The 27,572-nt window shown below is 41.7% G+C and overlaps 2 pseudogenes; one reads left to right on the top strand and one right to left on the bottom strand.

Annotated features, from left to right (window-relative positions):
• On the bottom strand, positions 1,644 to 1,919 carry RN7SL163P (RNA, 7SL, cytoplasmic 163, pseudogene; annotated as a pseudogene).
• RPL39P40 (ribosomal protein L39 pseudogene 40) lies at positions 7,499 to 7,892 on the top strand (annotated as a pseudogene).

Below are 27,572 nucleotides of genomic sequence, written 5' to 3'. Positions count from 1 at the left end.
TGCACTCCAGCCTGGGCAACAAGAGCGAAACTCTGTCTCAAAAAAAAAAGAAATGAAAATTTCTTTCTAGTGTGTTCTATTTACATTACCAGGAACATTGGCTTTATGGGTTAATACCATCCAAAAGTTACCTGTTTACTCCCAAGCAATGAATGTATAAATACATACACTTTTTTTTTTGAGACGGAGTCTCACTCTGCACCAGGCTGGAGTACAGTAGCGCGATCTCGGCTCACTGTGACCTCTGCCTCCTGGGTTCAAGCGATTCTCCTGCCTCAGCCTCCCAAATAGCTGGGACTACAAATGTGCGCCACCACGCCTGGCTAATTTTTGTGTTTATAGTAGAGACGGGGGTTTCAACATATTGGCGAGGATGGTCTCGATCACTTGACCTCATGATCCTCCCGCCTTGGCCTCCCAAAGTCCTGGGATTACAGGCGTGAGCCACTGTGCCTGGCCGCTTAACTTCTTTTTAAACTAACTTAAGCCAATCTCCCTGTTTTTAGCCCCACCTTCGCTTCACTCTCAAATATCCTGATACCATCAAATCCTGAAATTCTTGGAAGGTTCACTTTGACTACTGCTGGTTTAGAATTCAGCTGTCTGGAATGTGTTCAGTCAGTATCTCTCATCTATCTGCCTTCCAGTTCCCAAAATGTTGATATTGTCTTCTACCCTGTTATCTTTGTCTTTCTGCCTTCAGGCTTTTTTTTTTTTTTTTTTTAAACCTTTTAAATTCTATTAATGTGGTTTTAATAAGGGTTTCAGGAAGAATCACGGTAAATGCATGTGTTTAATTCTTCATTATTTTTCGGAAGTCTGCCCTCAGTTGGGATGAAATGCCCCCATGGATATTTAAATTTAAAAGTCTAAAGAAAATGAACATTTTTATTATTTTCCTGAATAATCATAGATCTTAGACTGTTTTAACTCCTATCATATCCCTTTCCTAATTTATAGTGTAATCCAATGTTTCTGTCCTGTCCACCTTCTAAGTTATACATTGACTTGTTTTTTAATAGTTGACAGTAATAGTCAAACTCTGTAAAATATTTGAAGATATTTATTCTGAGCAAAATATGAGTGACCATGGCCCATGACATGGCCCTCAGGAGGTCCTGAGAACACATGCCGAAGGTGGGCGGGGCACAGCTTGGTTTTATGCATTTTAGGGAGGCATGAGACATCAATCAAATACATGTAAGAAATACATTAATTTGGTACAGAAAGGCGGGGCAACTCAAAGTCGGGCGGGGTTCCAGGCTCTAGGAAAATTTAAACATTTCCTGGTTGACAATTGGTTGAGTTTATCTAAAGACGCGAGATCACAGAAAGGAAATGTTCAGGTTAAGATAAGAGATTGTGGAGACCAAGGTTCTTTTGAAGTCTTATAGTGGGTGCCCTTAGAGACAATAGATAACAAATGCTTCCTATCCAGATCTTTAAAAGGTGCTAGATTTAGGCCGGGTTCGGTGGCTCACGCCTGTAATCCCAGCACTTTGGGAGGCCGAGGCGGGCGGATCACCTGAGGTCAGGCGTTTGAGACCAGCCTGGCCAACATAATGAAACCCCGTCTGTACTAAAAATGCAAAAATTAGCCAGGCGTAGTGGCGGGCGCCTGTAGTCCCAGCTACTCGGGAGGCTGAGGCAGGAGAATGGCGTGAACCCGGGAGGCAGAGCTTGCAGTGAGCCGGGATCGCGCCACTGCACTCCAGCCTGGGCGACAGAGCCAGACTCCGTCTCAAATTTTCTTTTTCTTTTCTTTTTTTTTTTGAGATAGAGTCTCGCTCTGTCACTCACGCTGGAGTGCAGTGGCGCGATCTCGGCTCACTGCAAGCTTCACCTCCAGGGTTCAAGCGATTCTCCTGACTCAGCCTCCCCTGTAGCTGGGATTACAGGCGCCCGCCACCACGCCCGGCTAATTTTTTTGGATTTTACTATTAGTAGAGACGGGGTTTCACCACGTTGGCCAGGATGGTCTCAGTCTCTTGACCTTGTGATCCGCGGTCTGGGCCTCCCAAAGTGCTGAGATTAAAGGTGTGAGCCACCGCTCCCAGCCAGTTAATCTCTTTAGGATTGGGAGGTCCTAGAGGAAGAAGAACTAGCTATGTTAATAGAAATTCCTTACAGATGCAAATTTTCCCCCACAAAGGACAGCTTTCAAGATACGGCAAAGAAACATGTTTTGGGGTAAAATATTTTGATTTTCTTCCTTGTCTCTGAATGTTATGCCAGAGTCAGGTTGGAAAGTAAGTCACTATATATAGGGTTAAATAAAACCCATCTGATGAGAATTTATGATTTCTAGGCCATGACTCCCCAGACCCCTTAGATAAGAATTTGGGAAAGATAAAAAAAAAAAATCAGAGTTTAGTCCTCAATAGAGTCAATGTTCCTTTAGATTTGTCTGCATGTCTTTGTTCACCATTTCTTCTTGCATATCAAACCACTTCTGGGATAATTCCTTCTTCCAGAAGTATGTCCTTTACAAATTACTGAGTATCTTTTTTATTTTTTGTTTTGGCAACTTGATTACACCAAGAGGACTTTTTTTTTTTTTTTCCAGACAGAATTTCACTCTTGTTGCCCAGGCTGGAGTGCAATGCTGTGGTCTTGGCTCACTGCAACCTCCCCCTTCCAGGTTCAAGCGATTCTTCAGTCTCAGCCTCCCAGGTAGCTGGGATTACAGGTGGCCACCATGCCCGGCTAATTTTTATGTTTTTAGTAGAGACGTGATTTCACCATATTAGCCAGGCTGGTCTCGAACTCCTGACCTCAGGTGATCCACCTGCCTCGGCCTCCCAAGGTGCTGGGATTACAGGTGGGAGCCACAGTGCCTGGCCTAAGAGGGTCTTTTTAAAGCAAACTTTGTTTTTATTTGTTTAAAAATACCTATCTGTGTTATCCCTCAATTCTGGAAAAATCTCAATATTTAAATTCTTATTCAATGTTGCTTTTCCCATATCTCTCTATTGTCATCCTCTGGGGTGCCACTTAGATAAGTGTTATACCTTCTCATCCTATCCTTTATATCTTATTGTCTCATATTTTCCATGTATTTGATATTCTGAGCTGAATTCTGGGTGATTTTTTTCAGTTTTATCTACCTATTAACAACTTTGCTCTTCAGTTGTGTTGAATCTACTTTCAATTATCCTTAAGAGTTTTTATTTAAGTTGTGTATTTTTATTCATAATATTTAAGCTTTAAAAATATATATCTGCTTGGTTGCTTATTCCTACTCATACTTCCAGTTATCATTTCTTTAAACATGTTAAATATACTTATATATTATGTGTGCAATAATTGCATGATCTGAAATCATTATGTGTCTCATTTTGGTTTGTTTTCTTTTTCCTTTTCCTTTTTTTTTTTTTTGAGATGGAGTCTCACTCTGTTGCCCAACCTGGAGTGCAGTGGTGCAATCTCCGCTCACTGCAACGTCCACCTTCTGGGTTCAAGCAATTCTCCTGCCTCAGCCTCCCGAGTATCTGAGACTACAGGTGCACACCACCATGCCTGGCTAATTTTTGTATTTTTTGTAGAAATGGAGTTTCACCATGTTGGCCAGGCTGGTCTCAAACTCCTAACCTCAAGTGATCCACTTGCCTCAGCCTCCCAAAGTGCTGGGATTAACAGGCGTGAGCCACCATGCCTGGCTGGTTTTTTTTTTCTTTAATTAATTAATTAATTAATTTTTGGAGACAAGGTCTCTCTATGTTACCCAGGCTAGACTCAAACTCCTGGACTTGGCCAGGCACAGTATTCATGCCTGTAATCCCAGCACTTTGGGAGGCTGAGGCAGGTGGATCACCTGAGCTCAGGAGCTTGAGACTAGCCTGGCCAACATGGAGAAACCCTGTCTCTACTAAATATACAAAATTAGCCAGGTGTGGTGGTGCATGCCTGTAAACCCAGCTACTCGGGAGACTGAGGCAGGAGAATCACTTGAACCCAAGAGGTGGAAGTTGTAGTGAGCCAAGAATGTGCCATTGTACTCCAGCCTGGGCAACAAGAGCAAAATTCAGTCTCAAAAAACTCCTGGACTCAAGCAGTCCTCCCTCCTCAGCCTCCCAGGTAGGTGAGACCACAAGTGTGTGCCACTGTGCCCAGCTCTCATTTTATTGTCTGCTGTTTTTGTACATTTTTGCTTATGTTAGGCTTATTTCATGTGTTTTATGATGATTTTTTGTTATAAACTCATGTTTATGGAGCTTTATCTGTGTGAATTGTTTGAGGGTTTTAAGTGTTTTTTTTTTTTTTTTTTTGAGACGGAGTTTCGCTCTTGTTGCCCATGATGGATTGCAATGGCGCAATCTTGGCTCACTGCAACCTCTGCCTCCCAGGTTCAAGCGATTCTCCTGCCTCAGCCTCTCGAGTAGCTGGGATTACAGGCTTGTGCCACCACGCCAAGCTAGTTTTGTAGTTTTAGTAGAGCTGGGGTGTCACCATGTTGCCAGGCTGGTCTCAAACTCCTGACCTCAGGTGATCCACCTGCCCCGGCCTCCCAAAGTTCTGGGATTACTGGCGTGAGTCACTGCGCCCCGCCTTAAGTGTTTTTCTTGAGAGGGGATTTGTATTAGCTTCTGACAGGATCCTAGGGACACTCCTATTCCAGGAAAATGTTTAAAATACCCTCTTGGTGCTACGTTATAGATTATATTGTTAATGTAAATTCTGATCAGACACTAGCATGAGGAAGGGCTTGTAGTTACCAATTCTTTTTTTTTTGGTATTAAGGAGTGGAGAGTTTAATCGGCAAGAAAGAAGGGAGAAGAAAAAAGGAAGAAGCTACCTTGTACAGAGACAGATGCGGGGGCTCCAAAGCCAAGAGAAGAGACCCCCTTTTTTTTTTGAGACAGAGTCTCGCTCTGTTGCCCAGGCTGGAGTGCAGTGGCACTATCTTGGCTCATTGCAACCTCTGTCTCCCAGGTTCAAGCAATTCTCTCACCTCAGCCTCCTGAGTAGCTGGGATTTTTTGTATTTTTAATCGAGATGAGGTCTCACCATGTTGGCCAGGCTGGTCTTGAACTCCTGACCTCAGATGGTCCACCCACCTCGGCCTCCCAAAGTGCTGGATTACATGCATGAGCCACCGCACCTGGCCTATAATTACCAATTCTTAGATGAGGTTCATGACTCTCTTCAATAGCCTTGTAAATAGGGGAATATACCCCATGCCGTGTACATAAGCTGTATGGAGAAGTTAAACCACAGTTTCCTTTACTGATAATCCCCCAGGGTTTGTTTGTTTGTTTGTTTATTTGAGACAGAGTTTCACTTTGTCACCCAGGCTGGAGTGCAATGGCATGATCTCAGCTCACTGCAACCTCCGCCTCCTAGGTTCAAGCAATTCTCATGCCTCAGCCTCTCAAGTAGCTGGGCTTACAGGCCTGCTGCCATGCCCAGCTGATATTTTGTATTTTAGTAGAGATGGGGTTTCACCATATTGGCCAGGCTGGTCTGGAACTCCTGAGCTCAGGCAATCCACCCACCTCAGCCTCCCAAAGTGCTGGGATTACAGGCGTGAGCCACCACGCCCGGCCCAGGTTCTGTTTTTACTTAGCTTCCTCCATTCAGTTTATTGAATTACTTCTCAAATATTGTATTCAATTGCTTTTGTGGAATTCTCTAGTGTCCAGGTAGAATAAATAAATAGTCAAGGATGTCCTCAGCAAGTTTTCCTCAAAATATCTAAGGGCATTTCCAGGGCCACATTGTGACTTTCAGGGGCCTTAAGTACTTTCATCTTTGTGAACCCCTGCCACCATTAAAAATAATAATAATTGTTTTTACAACAGTGTTGGTATAAAGACAAATTTAATTCAGGCTGGATCATATCATTATTTCTTCTGATTTTAAAAGAAATTAAAACATTTTCACAGGCCCTGGATAAGTTGGCCCTGGGTTTTAAGTGTCTCACCCTCCCTCCATCTCTACTGTAAGCTATATTAGTGAAAGGAAAGAAAAGAGTGAACTACTGGGTGTGGTGGCTCACTCCTGTAACTCCAGCACTTTGGGAGGCTCAGGTGAGTGGATCACCTGAGGTTAGGAGTTTGAGACCAGCCCGGCCAACATGGTGAAACCCCGTCTGTACTAAAATTACAAAAATTAGCTGGGCATGGTGGCATGCACCTGTAATCCCAGTTACTCAGGAGGCTGAGACAGGAGAATCGCTTGAACCCGGGAGGCGGAAGTTGCAGTGAGCCAAGATCGCACCACTGCACTCCAGCCTGGGCGACAGAGCGAGACTCCTCTCAAAAAAAAAAAAAAAAAAGAAAAGGAATGAACCTATATAAATTTTCGTCTCATCCCTGTTTCCATTTCACTTCTTTTGCCAAAGTTCCCATTCTTATAGTATCCTCATCTCTAGTCCTTTTTCTCTACTTTCCTTCTTAGGCCAAAACAGTTCACAAAGTAGCAAACCTGCCCTGTACTAAAAATAAGAAAAAGATAAGATGTTTACCCAGGAATAAAAATCTTTTGCTTGTTTTATTTAAGCTTTTCCTTATCTTTGTGATCATGTTTGTATTTTGGTGTAGAGATGCTTTTGATTGGGCGTTTGAATGAAAAGAAAGAAGACTAGCAGAATAACGACTAATTTGTGTTCATTTTCTGAGATTTTACACTAGCTTTGGTGGTGTGCTTTAGGAAAAAAATTCAAAGAAAGAATGATAATGTCTGGTGTTTGTGACATACACACCCCCAGAGCATTTTCAGATTAGATGACTCAATGTTTGCATAGCGCTGTGGGCATTATAGATCAAAGATGCTGGGCTTAACTCAATGTTTGCATAGTGCTGTGGGCAGTATAGATCAAAGATGCTGGGCTTAACTCAATGTCAAACCCATTTAATTTATACCCAGATTATAAATTTAAATATTACAGAAGTGTGTGGCGCCTCATATACTTTGTATTTTGCTGGTTTCTTTTTGGCTGGGGACAGCTTTTTTTCTGATAGATAATAACAATGCTTTATGTTTATAGGCAGTATAACATCTTTCATCCAAGGAGTTCAAAGAACTCAGCAATTATGACTCATTGTTCCTTAAAATACCTTTATAAAACTGGAGGTGACAAGCATTGAGGTAAACTTGTTATAAGTAAGGAAACTAGAGTCATGGAAACATTAAAGCACTAGCCAGATATTTTGGGAATCAGAGATGGAATTCAGAATAAGTCCCCCTTCCTTTGATTAGAATGAAACCAGTGGCACCCTCATTTCCTCCTCATGAAGGGATTGATTCAAGGACTTCAGTTGCATTTATGATAAAGATAATACTTAACTGAAGAGTTTGCATTTACCTGCCTCTCTAAGTTCATCTCAATGTCCCCGTCCCTGCTGTGGCTGTTTCCTTTGCAGATGCTGTTCCCTTTGCCTGGAATACTTGACCTTCTCAAGCGGGTATCTCCTAGTCATCCTTACTATTTCAGAACAAGTATCCTTTCCTAAGGGACCCCTCTGATTACATTTGATTTAATTTGTATTACAGCTGTCTCTTCCTTTCTTTGCCATTGTGGTGTGTGCTTGACTCCACTTTTCGCCATGTTTTCTCACGCTTTCAGGATTAATTCCTGGCAATGAAACAAAAGCAAAATTATCCCATTCCACAGTAGATTCGGATGAAAACTGGAAATAAAATCGGGTACAACTCCAAGAGGAGATATTGGAGAAGAACCAAGCTGGGTCTGCAAGGAACTGCATACGAGATGGCACACGTATTTATGCTGTCTCAAGGTCATGACCATGTTACCATATCAAGCTGAAAATGTCACCACTATCTGGACAGTTGGTCATGTTTTATTGGGAATATATTTTTTTCCTCTCTGAATCTATTGTGAATGCGCTGGTTGGCTGGGTTCAGTAATAAATATGTGAGACCTTTCATTTGAAAAAATAAAAATAATAATAATTTGCATTATATTTCTCAAAGCACCGGTCACCTCCCCTTCAGAGCACTTTCTACAATTGCAGTGTCAAACTTGAATGTGTTATTTGTTTGATTGTTTGATTCATGCCTATCCCACTCACCCAACTGTAGGCTCTGTGAGGGCAGGGTGCATGTCGGTTTTTCCTTACTGTTGTAGCTCCAGCATCTAGTTTAGTACTAAATATAGGCTCAAACGTATTTGTTGACTGAATGCATTTAGATTTTAGAAAGAGTGTTCTTTCTTTAAAAGAACAAAGAGAGAGAGAGAGATAGGTACTGGCTTTGTTTCCCAGGCTGGTCTTGAACTACTGGCCTCAAGTGATCCTCCTCCCACTTTGGCCTCCCACAGTGTTGAGATTACAAGCATGAGCCACCATGCCCAACCAACAGTGTTCTTTCTTTTTTTTTTTTTGAGATGGAGTCTCGCTCTGTTGCCCAGGCTGGAGTGCAGTGGCATGATCCCAGCTGACTGCAACCTTCACCTCCCGGGTTCAAGTGATTCTCCTGCCTTAGCTGGGACCACAGGCGCTCCCCACCACATCCAGCTAATTTTTGTATTTTTAGTAGAAACAGGGTTTCACCATATTGGCCAGGCTGGTCTTGAACTCCTGACCTCGTGATCCGCCAGCCTCGGCCTCTCAAAGTAGTGGGATTACAGGTGTGAGCCACTGCGCCCAGTTGAGTGTTCTTTCAAAATTTGCACCCAAATTCTGCAACTTCAACTTGGGATTATAATTAGGGAGAAAATGATTGGCATTCTAATTATTCTAAAATCTGCTTGAACAGAAAATTTATAGAATGCCTTAACAACTTAAAATATAGTCATTAAAACTTGAGTAAGATAAGAGACAAATTAGGAAGGTAGTGAAAGGGGGAGAGCTCAGAAAAACTGGGATTAAGGGGATCTACCACAATTAATACAAAATTTAACTCTGGTTATTAGAAATCTGAGATTAGACAGGAAAGCCAGGGGATTATTTCTGTAGCAACTGTTCCCACTTGAATCCAAGAGGCAGACTCCTCTCCATGCATCTTTTTTGCTCTGGGTGAGGGGGTCCTCACTGAAGATTTTTCTAGGGCACCTGAAGAGAGAGAAGACTGAATGCATTAGAGCTGTCTATTCTCTGGCCTTATTGAGGGGCTCACATCTGAGACTCCTGGAGAATTGCTGCCAGCAAAATCCTTGTTGTACTGCCCAGGTGCTCAAATTTGACAGAATGGGCAAGAATCCCTCTTCTTCTGAAGTCAGGCTTTTTGATTTAGCAGAGAGAACAATCTAAGTTTGCTTTTTTTTTTCTTTCCTTTTAAACAGGGGCCTATCATAATCCTGTCTGTGTTTTGGAAAGAAAACTCTAGAGGCAGTGCCAAGGATGGATCTGAAGAGGGCAGAAAAAACAAAAGGGAAATTATTGAAGAAATTGTTTTTAAAGTCACAGTAAAAACTGGTGGGGTCTGAACTCAAGTTGTTACAGCAATCTGAGAGGCTTAGGAGATTTTTGGAGGGATGACTAGCAAAATTTGAGCCCAGCTGGATATAGGCAGTGAGGAACAAGAAACAAAGCTGTTTCAGGTTTCTAGATTTGGCAATCAATGTAAAAAGGTGCTGCTAATTGAATAGGGTTAGTGGACAAGCAGGTTTAGTGGAATACAAATGTTAGGTTTTCAATGCCCGAGGGACATCCAAGTGAAGATGCCAGAAAGAGAGCCGACCTGGCTGGAGATCTAGATTTTGGAACCTAGATTGTACTCCTTTGAGGAATTTGTTTGTTTTTCATATTGGAAGTAAAACTAAATGCATCTTCTCATAGCAGCTATGCTGTAAATGAATGTAGTTAATTTACCAAGGAAGCCTCCAAACACCCATTTAGCCTACAGTGTTCTTGACAGAGCGTGGTGAAATATTTATAAGAATGTTTCTAGGAGGACTTGTATTCACCAGGCCAAGTCAGTACTCCAGTAAAGCATCTTTCATGAAAAAATGCTCACCATCACTGGCCATCAGAGAAATGCAAATCAAAACCACAATGAGATACCATCTCACACCAGTTAGAATGGCAATCATTAAAAAATCAGGAAACAACAGGTGCTGGAGAGGATGTGGAGAAACAGGAACACTTTTACACTGTTGGTGGGACTGTAAACTAGTTCAACCATTGTGGAAGTCAGTGTGGCGATTCCTCAGGGATCTAGAACTAGAAATACCATTTGACCCAGCCATCCCATTACCAGGTATATACCCAAAGGATTATAAATCATGCTGCTATAAAGACACATGCACACGTATGTTTATTGCGGCATTATTCACAATAGCAAAGACTTGGAACCAACCCAAATGTCCAACAATGATAGACTGGATTAAGAAAATGTGGCACATATAAACCATGGAATACTATGCAGCCATAAAAAATGATGAGTTCATGTCCTTTGTAGGGACATGGATGAAATTGGAAATCATCATTCTCAGCAAACTATCACAAGAACAAAAAACCAAACACCACATATTCTCACTCATAGGTGGGAATTGAACAATGAGAACACATGGACACAGGAAGGGGAACATCACACTCTGGGGACTGTTGTGCGGTGGGGGGAGTGGGGAGGGATGGCATTGGGAGATATACGTAATGCAAGATGATGAGTTAGTGGGTGCAGCGCACCAGCATGGCACATGTATACATATGTAACTAACCTGGACATTGTGCACATGTACCCTAAAACTTAAAGTATAATAATAATAAATAAAAGAAAATATGAAATAAAAAAAAAGCACCTTTTCTTGCTCAGACACAGAATTAGGAGTCAAACCTTATTCTCCTTCCTAACAAAGGAGCATAGATGGTTTAAGGGCAAAGTGCAGATTCTTTGGTGTTGAACTAATACTGCTTGTAGTTTTAGGGAGACAGGGTTACATTTTCATGTTACAAAGTGAGAGAGAGAATTGGCAGATGTTTCAGGAAAGGATAAGTATCTAGCTTAGGCAGAGGCTGATAGTAATGGAGTGGAAAGTTGGAGTGAAGGACCCTGATTAGGGTTGAAGGAGTGAGTAGCAGGAGTGGTAATTCAGCAAGAATAGGATGCCTGGGAACCACAGATCCCTGGCAGCTTTGGTGACCTTATTATTGAGTTTGGGAAGATAGCAGCCACACATTCTACTAATCAGTAATGAAGAAGAGAAGGAAGGTGAAGTGGCGTGGGTATCCAGGAGCAATAGGAGTGGGCAGGGAATGGTGGTTCTTTGGATACTAGATGACTCCCTGTTAGGACAGCCATTTGTAGGTATGTTGATTTAATTTACGATTGCTGGTAGCAAAAACATATTATCTCAACTCACAACTCAAACTCTAAAGGACAAGGAAACTTGCACATTTCTGATAAAGGAGGAACTCTGCTATTATGCAAATGGACATGTTGTTCAGCTGATCTTACCTATCCCTACTTTTATAGCTTTCAAAGTCAGTTAAGCCAAACTCAAAAGTATGTGCCTTTAGTCCCAGCTACTAGGGAGTTCAGTTCAAATTCATCCCGCGCAACACAGCAAGACCCCATCTCTTTAAAAAAAAGTCAGTTAAATGTTTCTTATTCAAAAACACTTGACAGGTACAGTTAGATGGAATAAGTTGTAGTATCCAATAGTAGAATAGGGAAATTATAGTTAACCATAATTTATTGTACATTTCAAAATAGCTAGAAGAATTATTATGTTCCCCACACAAAGAGAAGATATATATTTGAGGTGATGGATACCCCCAATTACCCTAATTTGATTTCACATAGTATACATGTATCAAAATATCACAAGTACCCCCAAAATAGGTACAAATATTATATATCGTTTTTTAAAGCACTTGAAAGGTTTACAAAGTCTCTCATTACTAAAAAGCATTCTTGTCACCATTAGGCATTATGATTTCACTTTCATGAAAACTTTATTGTACATAAAAATAAACGGGGGTTGATTTTCTCCTTTTTTGTTTGTTTCCATTTCCCTGGCAGTGCTATTGCTAAGCAATGAAAAAAAGAAAGGAATATAGGGGGTATCACTAAAGGGAGACTGATTTCTGTTGGGTCAGTGAGTCACCCAAACTTCAGATATGGCAGGAGATGCTGGGTGCGGGTGACAGTTGATCCTTTGTAGAAACTTAAGAAAAATGAGAAAAGAACACTTAAACATATTTGATATGTATTGATTCAAAAAATATTTAGGTAGTTGCAATTTATAGCATTTTCATTTTTATGTTATTCAGATGGAGATTAAATATTCTCTGGCTTGACCAAGTAGAAATGCATTCAGCGCATATGTTGGACTGTTAACATGATAGGAATTTTCCAGACTGTGTCTTGTAGATGTGTTAGGCCACATCTTTTCTGAGTTCCTTATTCTAGTATTATATATTTCCTGCTTCCTTGCTTAAGGAGAGAAATGGACTTTGTGTGAATAATCTCAGCAGCTCCCCTATGGGTCTCAACACATGGCTGCTGGTTTCCTGAAATTCTTTTTGTGTAGATGCTCTATCATGCGAGAAAATTGCTTAATGGACAGGAGAAAAATCCAATGGACAAACATTGGCAACTCAAACAGAAACTCAGATGACAACTCAAAATGGATAATTAGGTTTGGTCTGTAGAACTGCAAAAATCCATCTGCCAAACAACATGCCTGCGGTTCCCAGAGTCCAGCTACTAAAACTCAAATAGTCTCTTAAGAAGGATGAGTGCCAAATAAAGGGAGAAAGAAGGAAAGCTCTCAAACCAAAACAAAAAACAAATAAACCAAATCAGACTGTAATCTTCAACAAAACAGAATTAGTGAAATATTTAGCCTCCATGATATCGCAGGTCAGCTCCTTTTTCATTCATTTTATTTTTTCCCCAAGGCCTCAAAGAGCTCCAGAAATTTTTTTTAAGAAGGTATGCTGGGCACAAAAACCTAAAATGTTAGGAAGAGTAATGTATTTTCTTTATAAGCTACCTCTAGTTTGGTGTACAGTATAGTGAGTTTAAATACAAAGTAGGGTCTGATTTACCATTAAAGAAGGGATCAGTGAAATACAGGTAGATTTCCAAAGATGGATATAAAACTGGTCTGACTCAGCAGACATTGTGAATTTAGTATTGATTGAAGTACAGATGAACCAGTTGATAGCCAGAATGGATAATCTGTAAGAGAACCAATAGGATAGTCATTTAACTTGGGCTGAGAACTTTTCCCCAGAAGCTGACCCTAAGGTACAGATTTGGGTGCAGAGTAGAAGGTGATCTCAAGCACGAGTAGGGAAATAGGGAAGTAAAACAACCATGGAAAAAAGCCAAGAGAGGGTATGTTGGTGGCAGGTTGACCTTGTGGATATTGGGTCAATCCTAATGGGAGATCCTGAAAGATTATATAGAGTAGGTCTTGGAGTTGTCCCATCGGAGGGGTGAGGAGCTGGGGTGTTTATTCACCAACTTTCATCTGTCAATGGTTGAAGGCTTTTCCTGGAGGTATGAACTCCCAAATTTTCACCATCTGTCTCTTAGGGGTCTAGCACACTCCTGCAGCTAAAGAAAGTCCTCAGGCAGTCAGTCATTGGTGCTTGCCCGTAGGAAAAATGGGAACAGTGAATGCAGAATGGTTATGGACCAGGCACTGCTACATGGCATCTGCTATATGGTTAAATTTTTTTGGTGGCTATCAATCACTTGGAGAATTTGATTAAAGCTAAAGATCCTTAGGCAGTCATTGATTGGGAAAAAATGATAAAGAATCTTCTCACTAAGAAAAATAAGTGCATATATGTTGTTGTTGCTATTGTTGTTGTCTTGTTTTGTTCTCTTGAGACAGAGTCTCACTCTGTTCCCCGGGCTGGAGTGCAGTGGCATGATTTTGGCTCACTGCAGCCTTGACCTCCCGGTCTCAGGCGATCCTCCCACTTCAGCCTCCTGAGTAGCCGGGACTATAGGCATGTGCCTCCACACCCAACTAATTTTTGTATTTTTTGTAGAAATTAGGTTTTGCCCTGTTTCCTAGGCTGGTCTCAAACTCCTGGGCCCAAGTGATCTGCCCACCTCAGCCCCACAAAGTGCTAGGATTACAGCCATGAGCCACTGCACCCAGCCTATAAATGCATATGTGTACATGACTTTGTATTCAATTTACTGGGATTTCCACCTGAAGTGGCAAAGAGTCTGTGTCTTTGAGGATTTATGCTGATCTATGGAAAAATTGTACTTTGTCTTAGCATATTAGAAGTTGATATGGTTTGGATGTCTGTCTCCTCCAAATCTCATGTTCATGTTGAGATGTAATCGCCCGTGTTGAAGGTGGGGCCTAGTGGGAGGTGATTGGATCGTTGGGGAAGATCCCTCATGAATGGATTAATGCCCTTCCCTTGGTAATAAGTGAGTTCTCACTCAGTTCAAGCGAGAGCTGGTTGTTTAAAGGAGCCTGGTTCCTCCTCTCTCTCTTTCTCCCTCTCTCACCATGTGATGTGCCACCTCTGCCTTCACCTTTGGCCATAACTGTAAGCTTCCTGGGACCCTCACCTGAAATAGATGCTGGCATCATGCTTCCTGAATAGCCTGCAGAGCCATAAGCCAGAATAAACCAGCTTTCTTTATAAATTACCCAGCCTCAGGTATTTCTTTATAGCAATGCAAAAACAGGCTAATACAGAAGGTGAGTACAGGGTGTTTGGGGCCAGCCAGGAATTATCAACCCTGGACAGAAGGTATCATGAGATCCAAATGATAGACTCCATGTTTACATTGAAACACTGTTTTTGATGGAAGAATGGATGACGTTTTTAGCAGGCCTCAGAGGTGTGAAGGAGAGAGACCCAGGTGTTCACGTGGCAGGTGGTAGAAAACTAAAATATCACTGGAAAAGTTTTATGCCGGAGAAAGCCCTAGAGACTGAAGAATAGTATCTTTCATCATTGTGTAAATTGTGAACCCTGCTCTGATACTGGTAAGGCCATCTAAAATTTCTGTGGGAATAGCACAACTTCTATGTTATTTTAGTTTATTTCTTTTTTGAGTAGGTGATGCAATTATGTGGCTCCAACTTCAGTAGAGGATTTAAAAGTAAACAATTGTAGCCGAGCACAGTGGCTGACGTCTGTAATCCCAGCACTTTGGGAGGCCAAGGCAGGTGGATCACTTGAGGTCAGGAGTTCCAGACCAGTCAGGGAAACATGGCAAAACCCTGTCTCTACTTTAAAAAAAAAAAAAAAAGGAAAAAATCTTTTCTTATGCCTGACTGTCAGTCACCTAGACTTTCTCTAGAAGCAATAACAGTTATCAGTTTGTAGCATAGTAGTATGGATGGCCATGGGAGGAAGATTCCCAGTACCTAGTAAAATGAACCATTATTGGGAAACAATACCTGCAAGTGCTATGATGTCATCATGACCTTGGAACAAAGGCAGCATCATAAAACCAGTAAATACAGTCCACTGTACCTGCCCAGGTAAAGCAGGAGGCTTTTTGGTTTACTGGTAAGATTTCTGGGCTGGCGTACGCCTTGCCTGTTGCAGCATGCAGATGTTCTCTGTGTGGTGGCTTGGGAATCACTGGACATTGTTTGTGGCTTGGCTGTATCTTAACACCTAATGACCCACTGGTGGGGATTATGGTACTAGGTCCCTGGGTTCTGGTATACCCTCATGGGCTAGACAGGCAGGAGTCTGGTTCAACTGCATAGATAAAACCTTTTTTAAATCAGGTGCTGGTTAAGGGAGATATCATAAAACAACCTTTGAAGATACAAGAATTCTGTGTTTTTGTTTCTCAAGAGGACCTGCTAATCCTGTCAGAGACCAATTAGTGGTTAGTAAGTGAAGGAGAATTTCTCACTCTCTTGAAGGAGAATTCCTCACTCCCTTAAAGGAAAATAAGTGGTGGCAAAGTGTTTGGCCTACGTTGTTCCCATGTGGTGCCTGCGTCACCAGAGGTGAGCAGTGGGAGATCGGAGCTATGGCTTATGTACTAGAAGTTCTAATTTGAGGGTTCGAGGCATCTAGGTATTTCAGAAAATTAAGCTAGAAAATACTTGAATTTTTTTCTATTTCTTGACTGATTAAATTACAGTAAAAAACAAAAACAAAACAAAACAAAAAAAAACACCCACACAAGAATCAGGAGGAATAACTATCCATGATTCAGCTTCTTGTAACGGTCCGTGATTCAGCTTCTTGATAATCTGCCAGTGCTTGTGGTTCCTGGTAAGTCTGTTTTAACCACAGCCTGACTTCCCCTAAGTACCACCACCAAGTCCCTAAGGCCGACCTGATGGCCGAGGAGTTTTAGCCTTTGGTTAGGAACATGAGCGTGTGTGCTTGTGTGTGTGTACCAAGTTTGATAGTTCTGAGTTATTTAGAAAGAAATGTACACACCGGAATAGAAAGAGAGATTATCAACAAATGTTAGTTCTGGTCTTTCTAGAAACTGATGTCAAGACAGGATTTGAAGTGTGAGAAATTTCTTGGAGAAAACACTTGTGAAGGAAAATTGAGCAGAAAAAAGGAGGGTTGAGAGAGCTTCAGATGCAATGCTGATCTCATCCCTGGGATGGAGAGAGGGCAGGAAGGAAGAATGAGTAGGATGTCTTAGACTGCAGTGCAGTTCTAAGAAAGTTTTGTCCAGGTTGATGCGGAATCCTCAAGCCAGAATCACCAGGTGAAAAATGGGTCTGCCTTTGTTTCCCTGCCACACTTGGTCCCTGGCCAGGAGCAGCCCATTGGAAGCTTAACCTCAGTACCCACGCATAGGGGATACACAGCACAACACATGGGGTTGTCCCACGGGATCTGCGCAAACAGGGCTGCTTTTACAATTTTGCATATCTGCAATAAATTTTTGTAGGAGTTTGGAGTATTTTAGGATGGTAGAGGCGGTGAAATGAAATTGCAGTAACAATAGCCATAATAATCTGCATTTATACATGCACCAAGCCTTTCCTAAGAACTACACATGTATGAAATCATGTAATGCTTACAGTAGCATTGGGAATTGATCCTTTACGCAGGGTTTTCTCAATTTCAAATGACAGAAATTCAGCTAAAATTAACTTAAGTAAAAATAAAATGTATAGAAATTATCTGCTCATGTAATAACCAGAATGTCTCAGAGCTGGGATTAGAGGGAGGCCAAGTAAGGTAAACTCATGTAAGTGCAGACTAAGATCCTGTTTTCATTTAAAAATTAGCCAGGCATGGTGGCTCATGCCTGTAATCCCAGCACTTTGGGAGGCTGAGGTGGACGGATCACAAGGTCAGGAGTTCGAGACCATCCTGGCCAACATAGTGAAACCCCATCAGTACTAAAAATATAAAAAATTAGCCCGACGTGGTGGTGGGCACCTGTAATCTCAGCTACTCAGGAGTCTGAGGCAGGAGAATTGCTTGAACCCAGGAGGTGGAGGTTGCAGTGAGCCAATATCGCACATGACACTCCAGCCTAGGCCACAATGCGAGACTCCATCTCAAAAAAAAAAAAAAAAAATTAGTATTTGACCCAGCAATCCCATTACTGGGTATATACCCAAAGGAATACAAATCATTCAATTATAAAGATACATGCATGCATATATTCATTGCAGCACTATTCACAATAGCAAAGACTTGGAACCAACCCAAATGTCCATCAATGATAGATTGGATAAAGAAAATGTGGTACATATGCATCATGGAATACTATGCAGCCATAAAAAGGAACGAGATCATGTCCTTTGCAGGGATGTGGGTGAAGCTGGAAGCCTCCTCCTCAGCAAATTAACACAGGAACAGAAAACCAAACACTGCATGTTCTCACTTGTGAGTGGGAGCTGAACAATGAGAACACATGGATACAGGGAGGGGAACTACACACACTGGGGCGTGTCAAGGGAGGGTGAGTTTTGGGGGAGAACATTAGGGAAAAGAGCTAATGCATCCTGGGCTTAATACCTAGGTGGTGGGTTGTTAGGTGCAGCAAACCACCGTGGAACACATTTACCTATGTAACAAACCTGCACATGTACCCCGGAACTTAATAATAATAATATATATTTTTTAATTAGTACTTTTGGGCCAGGCGTGGTGGTTCATGCCTGTAATCTCAGCACTTTGGGAGGCCGAGGCAGTCAGATCACCTGAGCTCAGGAGTTCGAGACCAGCCTGGTCAACAGGGCAAAACCCCATCTCTACTAAAAATACAAAAAAATTAGCCAGGCATGGTGGTGCATGCCTGTAATCCAGCTACTCTGGATTCTGAGGCAGGAGAATTACTGGAACCCAGGAGGCAGAGGTTACAGTGAGCCGAGATTGCGCCACTGCACTCCAGCCTGGGTGACAGAGAGGCAAGACTCTGTCTAAAAAAAAATAAATAAATGAAATAAATAAACAAATAATGGTGTTTTTTTCCTTGTGGATTTTTTGGGCATTAATTTTGATTCTTAAAAGTATTATTGGAAATATTTTCTATGTTCATGTTCTGACAAATAGGAGGGAATAATATATTTTATTGAAATAAAGAATTAAAATATTTTTATTATAAAAAAGAAAATACTGTATTTTCTTTTATTACTGAGGTTTCTTTGCATCCCTTTAAAATTTGCCCCTCAAATTAATGCCTCGCTTACTTCACCCTAGTCCTGGCCCTGCTTCAGGCCTAGCTGAATCCAGAAGTTCAAATGATCACATCATGACTCAGTTCCTTTGGCTCTGCTTGTATTTGGTTTGGCTCTATGTTAGGCAGGTGCTTTCTACATGTGGCTTTTAATACTCACAGTCTTAGATGTAGAGAGGCTGTTTCTCTTCTAAGTGCACCGCTTACTGATCTTTGAAAAAATATTCTGCTTGAATCCATCTGAAACATATGATACTCTGGAAGAATTTTTGAACGATAGGGTACCCTCCAATCCAGGAAGATGTGGAGTTTCTGGATTAATCTTCTTTCCTTTCTTTTTGGAAACTCAATTTTTTTTTAAAAAATCATGTTTATAGTTTTTAAAATTCTCATTAGAAGGTAGAAATAGTTTTATCAATGACTAAGTTTTCATATTGACTAGGCAAAAAATACAAAATGTCCTTCATTGAGGCAGCTTTTTATGAAATGTTAATATTTTTCTCTTTGTGAAATAATACATCAAGAACATCTGTTAAATGGGAAAAAAGTAAGTTACAAAACTTTATCATATAACACAATTTCTGTGAAATATGTTTGTGTGTGTGTATGTTAAAATGCATATGATTTTTTCTGAAAGATAGAAAAAAACTGATAACAGTGATTGCTTCTGAGGAAGAGAGTTGTTGGCTGGGAGATGAGGAAACAAAAATTAAATTTTCACTATATATCCTTTTCTATCTTTTGAATTTGTATATGCATGCATTGCCTATTTAAAAAATAAATAACTTTTTATATAATTTATTTTTCACACCAAATATGTGATGGACACTATTATAGATATTAGGGAACAAACAAGTTTTTTGTTCTCCTGGAGTAAATCAACAGGCCTTAATTTAATCAATTTAGTAGAAAATGAAATTCATTATAAGATCCCTAGTGTGTAATACAGTTAGATAGCATGGCTACATTTGAATGATCAGTATTGACATAGAAGGTGGTTTTCATTTTTTCACTTCTGACTTCCTTTATTCAAAATGAAACCCAGCAGAGGTACAGACTCAGATATGCTGGAGTTTTGACAAATGTGCTGAGATTAAAGAGACAGAAAGTAGTGTTGGTTGATACTGGCAGTCTGTCCCCAACAGTAAATGCAAAGTAGAATTCATTACTGACCTATGCCCATAACAATAAATATGGGTTGTTTTATCAACAATGTTAAGGACTGTTCATACATTGGTATCCAAAATTCCTGGGAGTACACAGATTTTTAGGAACACCTATTTTCTGAGGACCAAAGAGTTAACCAAGTGCCTCCGGTTACTATTTAGGAGGTGGTTCTCATAGTTATGAGGAAGCATAAGTGCCTCCATAAATTTGCAGGATCCTTAGCTACTACTCCAGGAGGCAGTAGGTGCTCAGGAGGATGGTAACAGGTCACAGAATGCTAGGCAAGATGATGGCAATGTATGCTCCTCCAATTAGGAGACATGGAGAAGCAGTAGAAATAACAGTGACTCAGTGATGGTGAGTAGCATTACCTCCTGTTTGCTCCTATGCTCAACCCCAGAGTCTGAAGAGCTTCCAAGTCAGTATTAGTAGCCAATGGAAGGATATATGGATGCACAGGAACCATGGGGCCAAAGAGTTATCCCATCACCAGAGGCAGGAGAAGGAACCCATCCGCAAAATAAGGAACTGTTCTGCCGCCAATGTGGCTAGATTTGCTTCTGATAATTTCTTCCCTAGACTGTTTATCTTAGAAATCTGGAAGAAACAGCTTCTCTATCTCCGTTTTTATCTTTTTTAATATCTTGGGCTTTACTAGTATGAAAACAATTACCATTGGTAGGTCGGTTATTCAAGTCTTTCTGGACTAGTTAGGTAAAATGCTTGATTAGTATATTTACATCAGTGTTTTCTCCTCTTTATGGTTTTAAATCACCATCGGTGATTTTCTAACATATATGATTCTAAGTCATAGAAGTTAAGAACACAGAAGAGCCAAAAGACCAACCTTTCTCATTTGTTTTGCAAATAATGCTAAAATTAAGGGGGTAAAAAGAGCTACTAATTTATCCCTATTCAAAGACAAATGATTCTGCTAAAATTAGTTGACAATTTGGAAAAATAAATTTAGTTGGTTCACGTTACAACATAACCAAATGGCTTAAAGAACTTAAAAAATGAAGTAATAGAATAACTAGAAGAATATGTGTGTGTGTATGTGTGTGTGTATTTGACATTTGATCATATTTATATGACCAAATGTGAAGGTTTGAGTGTATGCTGCTGCCAATGTCAGAAAAATATGTTGCTTCCAAGTACAGGGGAGGACTCTACAGGGCAGGAATGCCTAGGTCAGAAAAAAAGGACAAATGGTTACACACACACACACACACACACACACACACACACACACACACTATGCAGAAAAAACCTTTATTATTTTTGGTAAACCTTACTGAAATATAACATACTTGTGGAAATGTACACAAATCATAAGTGTGGATAAATTTTCAGCAAGTGAAATTTCCTGTGTAATAAAACAAAAGGAAGAAAACATAAAGGAAATGATTGATAAGTTTAACAGCATAGACAATTTAAAACATCTGTATGTCAAAAAATGTCAAACACAATTACAAAGGAAAAATGACAAACTAGAAAAATATTTGCAAATACATGACATAGGATAATTACCTTAATCTTTATTTTTTCAAAGTAAAAAGCTCATTAAGAAACTTGAATATTACAGCTAAAAAATGGGGACCCGGCATGGTGGCTCACGCGTGTAATTCCAGCACTTTGGGAGGCCGAGGCTGGCAGATCACCTGAGGTCAGGAGTTCCAGACCAGCCTGGCCAACATGGTGAAACACTGTCTCTTTTTTGTTGTTGCTGTTGTTGAGATGGAGTCACTGTGTCGCCCAGGCTGGAGTACAGGGGCACAATCTCAGCTCACCGCAACCTACGCCTCCTGGGTTCAAGTGATTCTCCTGCCTCAGCCTCCTGACTAGCTGGGATTACAGGCGCCCGCCACTGTGCCCGGCTAATTTTTGTATTTTTGTAGTAGAGATGGGGTTTCACCATGTTGGCCAGGCTGGTCTTGAACTCCTGACCTCAGGCGATCCACCCGCCTTGGCCTCCCAAAGTGCTGGGATTACTTACAGGCATGAGCCACCGCGCCTGGCCTATTTTTTTTTTTTTTTTTTGAGATGGAGTTTCGCTCTTGTTGCCCAGGCTGGAGTGCAATGGCCCGATCTCAGCTCACTGCAACCTCCGCTTCCTGGGTTCAAGCGATTCTTCTGTCTCCAAGTAGCTGGGATTACAGGCATGCACTACCATGCCTGGCTAATTTTGTATCGTTAGTAGAGACGGGGTTTCACTGTGTGGGTCAGGCTGGTCTCGAACTCCTGACCTCAAGTGACCCACCTGCCTCGGCCTCCCATAGTGGTGGGATTACAGGCGTGAGCCACCGTGTTCGGCCTGAAACCCTATCTCTACTAAAAATACAAAAATTAGCTGGGCGTGGTGGTGGGCACCTGTAATCCCAGCTACTCGGGAGGCTGAGACAGGAGAATCACTTGAACCTGGGAGGCAGAGGTTGGTTGCAGTGAGCCCAGATCATGCCACTGTACTCCAGCCTGAGTGACAGAGAGAGACTCCGTCTCAAAAAACAAAACAAAACAAGCAGAAAAATGGTAAAGTATACAAGAGGCAATTAAATGTATGAAAATAAAAACCTGGCTGGGCACAGTGGCTCACGCTTGTAATCCCAGCACTTTGGGAGGCCGAGGGAGGCAGATCACGAGGTCAGGAGATCGAGACCATCCTGGCTAACACGGTGAAACCCCGTCTCCACTAAAAAATACAAAAAATTAGCCGGGCGTGGTGGTGGGCACCTGTAGTCCCAGCTACCCGGGAGGCTGAGGCAGGAGAATGGCGTGAACCCGGGAGGCGGAGCTTGCGGTGAGCCGAGATCGCGCCACTGCACTCTAGCCTGGGCGACAGAGCAAGACTCCGTCTCTAAAAAAAAAAAAAAAAAAAAAAAGAGAAAAAAAGAAAATAAAAACCTTTCTCTAGTAATTAAATAAATTGTCCATACTGAAAAAAAACCATATACTGCCCTATAAAGGAAGGTGCAGGGACAGCCTTTTTATATGCATTTCTGGTGGGAGCATAAACTAGTTGCTTAGCGTGCATGTGGGGTGACGGTGAGGAGTGGGAAGGAGGTGGCTGTATGTGGTTTGCTGTGGTTACCAGGGGCTTGCGACCCGTATAGGCACTTTTACCCAAACATTCTAGTTCTAGAAATGTGCTTCAAGTAAATAATAGTAAAACACAAGGAATAACTTAAAATTTCTAAAAATAGGAGTTTGTTTAAATAGATTCACTGCTGCTTGATTGGTTGGTAAAAAAAAAAAAATTAGGAAACATTTTTTTCTAAAGATAAACAGGGTATATAACTGTAATGGTATGATCCTCTTTAGACATTAAAAGATACCATGGCAGCCGGGCGCGGTGGCTCACGCCTGTAATCCCAGCACTTTGGGAGGCCGAGGCGGGCGGATCACGAGGTCAGGAGATCGAGACCATCCTAGCTAAAACGGTGAAACCCCGTCTCTACCAAAAGCACAAAAAATTAGCCGGGCGTGGTGGTGGGTGCCTGTAATCCCAGCTACTTGGGAGGCTGAGGCAGGAGAATGGCGTGAACCCGGGAGGCGGAGCTTGCAGTGAGCCGAGATCGCGCCACTGCACTCCAGCCTGGGCGACTAAGGGAGACTCCGACTCAAAAAACAAAACAAAACAAAAAAAAACAAAAACAAACTAACAAACAAAAAAGATACCATGGCCAAGTGCAGTGGTGCACAACTGTAGTCCCAGCTACTCAGGAGGCTAAGGTAGGAGGGTCACTTGAACACAGAAGTCTGAAGCTGTATGCACTATGGTTGCACCTGGGACTAGCCACTGCACTCCAGGCGGGGCAACATAATCAGACTTTGCCTCTTAAAAAAAAGACATCGCCGGGCGTGGTCGCTCACGCCTGTAATCCCAGCATTTTGGGAGGCTGAGGCGGGCGGATCACCTGAGGTTGGGAGTTCCAGACCAGCCTAACCAACATGGAGAAACCCCGTCTCTACTAAAAATACAAAATTAGCTGTGTGTGGTGGCACATGCCTGTAATCTAGTTACTCGGGAGGCTGAGGCAGGAGAATTGCTTGAACCTGGGAGGCGGAGTTTGTGGTGAGCCAAGATTGCGCCATTGCACTCCAGCCTGGGCAACAAAAGTGAAACTCCATCTCAAAAAGAAAAAAAAAAAAAAAAGATATCACAGAAGACTATTGAATAAGTGAAAAAAAATTGTAATATGGTAACTGAAGACATCAAACTGTAAAACTAAACACATGCTAAAATTCCAGTTTTTGAAATGAATTATCTATATAGACAAATATACTGAAAAAAGACTGGTAGGTTTTACATCAGAATACGAACAGGTTTAAATCTGGATGAAGAAATATAAGTGCTTTTTATTTTCTCCTTGTACTTTTTTATATTTTCCAAGTTTTCCGTAATGAGTGTTAATTTTGTAATCAGCAAAAATGAATAGTTTAGGTAATAAAAATAATTTTAAAATTTTCTATTGTGTGATTGCATAAAGTTCATATCCTAGGCAGTAAACAACATTTTCCATATATATATAAATATATATATATATATATTTTTTTTTTTTTTTTTTTTTTTTTTTTTTTGAGAGACAGGGTTGCACTCTGTTGCCCAGGCTGGAGTGCAGTGGTGCAATCATAGCTCACTGCAGCCTCAACTATCTCAGCTAGAGCAATCCTCCCACCTCGCCCTTTGAGTAGCTGAGACTACAGGCATGCGTCACCTTTCCTGATGAATTGTTTTTTCTTTTTGTTCTTTTGGGTGAGATGGTGTCTCACTATGTTGCCCAGGCTGGTCTGGAATTCCTGCCTCGACCTCCCAAAGTGCTGGGATTATAGTGGTGACTCTTTTTATCTTCTCTGTCTAAAAAGATTAAGAAATTTTATACTAATCTTTACAGACGTACATGTTATATTTGCCTCTCTGTGGTGAAATCCAGGCTCTTGAGAAGCATTCAACATATAATTTAAAGATTACTTAAGAATAACTGCTAATAGGCTAGGCACAGCGTCTCACGCCTATAATCCCAGCACTTTGGGAAGCAGAGGCAGGCAGATCACCTGAGACCAGGAGTTCGAGACTAGCCTCGCCAACATGATGAAACCCCATCTCTACCAAAAATACAAAAATTAGCTGGGTGTGGTGGCACATGCCTGTAGTCCCAGCTACCTAGGAGGCTGAGACAGGAGAATCACTTGAACCCAGGACACAGAGACCGTAGTGAGCTGAGATCACACCACTGCACTCCATCCTGGGCAACAGAGCAAGACTCCATCTCAAAAAAAAAGAAAGAAAGAAAGAAGAAAGAAAGAAAGAAGAAAGAAAGAAAGAAAGAAAAGAAAGAAAGAAAGAAAGAAAGAAAAGAAAGAAAGAAAGAAAGAAGGAATAACTGCATAACCACTAATGAAAGACAAAGGAAATACCGTTGACAAACAATAGAGATACATATTCCCCCAGAGCACCAACTAGATAAATGTATTAAATTCCTAGTGACTCAAATTACTATGATAATATCTCAGCACTGTTTGAAAGGGTCCACTGAATTCCAATTATATAAATATTAAGCTTTTATTCACCTGCCTAATGGGATTATCTGCCACTAGGGATCACAAGATATTTTTTTTTTCTCTTTTTCTGCAAAAGATGTTGCCACTGCCTCCCTGTATAGGTAGAGATGGAAAATCACCCTGACCAGATCCTTATGCCTTTTTTTGCACTGAGAAAGCTTGAGTGATGCCCAGGAGAAAGGTAAAAAGAGGCATTTTGTTTAAAGCCAGCTCCTGAGCTGAGAAGTTGAGAACTTTTACATTAGGAGACCATGGTCTTCTGGGAAGGGAGAGATAAATACTTCTTTCCCTGCTCCCCAAGCTTGTTCCCCAAGATTTGCTTTCTGGTGGATTTGTAGATCTGGACCAGGGTGGTCCCAATCAAGGCCCAGATGCAAATAATGCAGCACTGTACCCAAAATAAGATGTGGGAGCAAAGAGCTGGCTCTGACCTCTAAATCAGAGCCCCGAGGAGCTCTGCAGAGCTGGAGGAGTTGGCCCTGCAGTCTCTACTACACCAGCCACCCTGGGCCCCCTGCTTCATTTTATTTATTTATTTATTTATTTATTTATTTATTTATTTATTTATTTATTTTTGAGACGGAGTCTGGCTCTGCCCCCCAGGCTGGAGTGCAGTGGCGCAATCTCGGCTCACTGCAACCTCCACCTCCCGGGTTCAAACAATTCTTCTGCCTCAGCCTCCCAAGTAGCTGGGATTACAGGCATGAGCCACCATGCCCAGCTAATTTTCGTATTTTTTAGTAGAGACAGGGTTTCACCATGTTGGTCGCGCTGGTCTTCAACTCCTGACCTCATGATCCACCTGCCTCAGCCTCCCAAAGTGCTGGGATTACAGGCGTGAGCCACCGTGCCCAGCCCCTGCTTCCTGAGTTACTATTATTGTGACTGGAAGAGCTGGCCCCTTACTACTCTCACTTGGGATTCTTGCCTCTCAGGGGATGCATGTGCTTGAGGATCTGCTATGGTTTTAAAGGGCTCTGCACCAGCAACCCTAATGATGACAGTCTCTACTTTGGTTCTCAGGATAAAGACTTTGAAGACAGAAGCAATACTTGCTTCTCCACAATACTTATGGAGCAATACTCACTTCTGCTCTTAGACCCAGGCCAGTGGGACCACTGCTGTGAATCCCATACCGGCAAGCGCCACATATTACTGAAACAGCCACAAAATAAATGTATTAAAGAACACATAGGCCAGCCGCATTGGCTCATGCCTGTAATCCCAGCACTTTGGGAGGCTGAGGCAGGTGGATCACCTGAGGTCAGGAATTTGAGACCAGCCTGGTCAACATGGTGAAACCCCATCTCTACCAAAAATACAAAAATTAGCCAGGCATGGTGGCCCATGTCTGTAATCCCAGCTACTGAGAAGGCTGAGGTGGGAGAATCCCTTGAACCTGAGAAGCGGAGGTTGCAGTGAGCTGAGACCACACCACTGCACTCTAGCCTGAGCAACAGAGTGAGACTCATCTCAAAAAAACAAAAAACAAAAAACAAAACCAAAACACATGGACAACTTTGTCATTCTAATGACCACGCAGACGCAGAATGACCTGTCACCCTAAACGATCAGTCCTGAGGCTAACGTCATTGAGGCCCCAAGGAAATGATGGATTCTCCACATGTCCTGCTGATGTTCTTGAAACCAAAAGCCAGCATGATATGCTGCTGCCAATGTCAGACAAATACACTGCCTTGGAGTGCAGAGAGGCTCTCAGCCCAGGAGTGCCTAGGTAAAAAGAAAGCACAAAGGGTCAAATCCTTCCACTCAGAGACAGTATGAATGCAGAGATCCTTGCTTAATGGAATCATCATTTTCCAAGTAATGAGGACCTTCCATTTTCTGTCTTGTTTTCATGTTCCCAGTTAGGAGTACCTCTGAAGGAACTCAAGAATGACAGAGTGTTTGGAACAGCACTACATAAGACTGAACAATTCCTCTTACTCTTAAATGTTCATATAGTCTGAGCATACTGAAATGGGAGAAGGAGTCTTTATTTGGGCAACTAGATGGACACTGAATGCTAGAATTATGCTGATTTTAGTTTCAAATATTAATATAAAATATAATTAAGTTCAAAAATTGAAATAAGAATTCAGCATTTAAAAATAATTTTGGGCCGGGCATGGTGGCTCACGCCTGTAACCCCAGCACTTTGGGAGGCCGAGGTGGGCAGATCACCTGAGGTCAGGTGTTCCAGACCAGCCTGACCAACATGGAGAAACCCCGTCTCTACTAAAAATACAAAATTAGCTGGGCATTGTGGCTCATGGCCTGTAATCCCAGCTACTCGGGAGGCTGAGGCAGGAGAATCACTTGAACCCGGG

Source organism: Homo sapiens, chromosome 21, assembly GCF_000001405.40.
Source record: "Homo sapiens chromosome 21, GRCh38.p14 Primary Assembly".
Classification (NCBI taxonomy): domain Eukaryota; kingdom Metazoa; phylum Chordata; class Mammalia; order Primates; family Hominidae; genus Homo; species Homo sapiens.
This window is presented reverse-complemented; position numbering and strand designations above follow the sequence as displayed.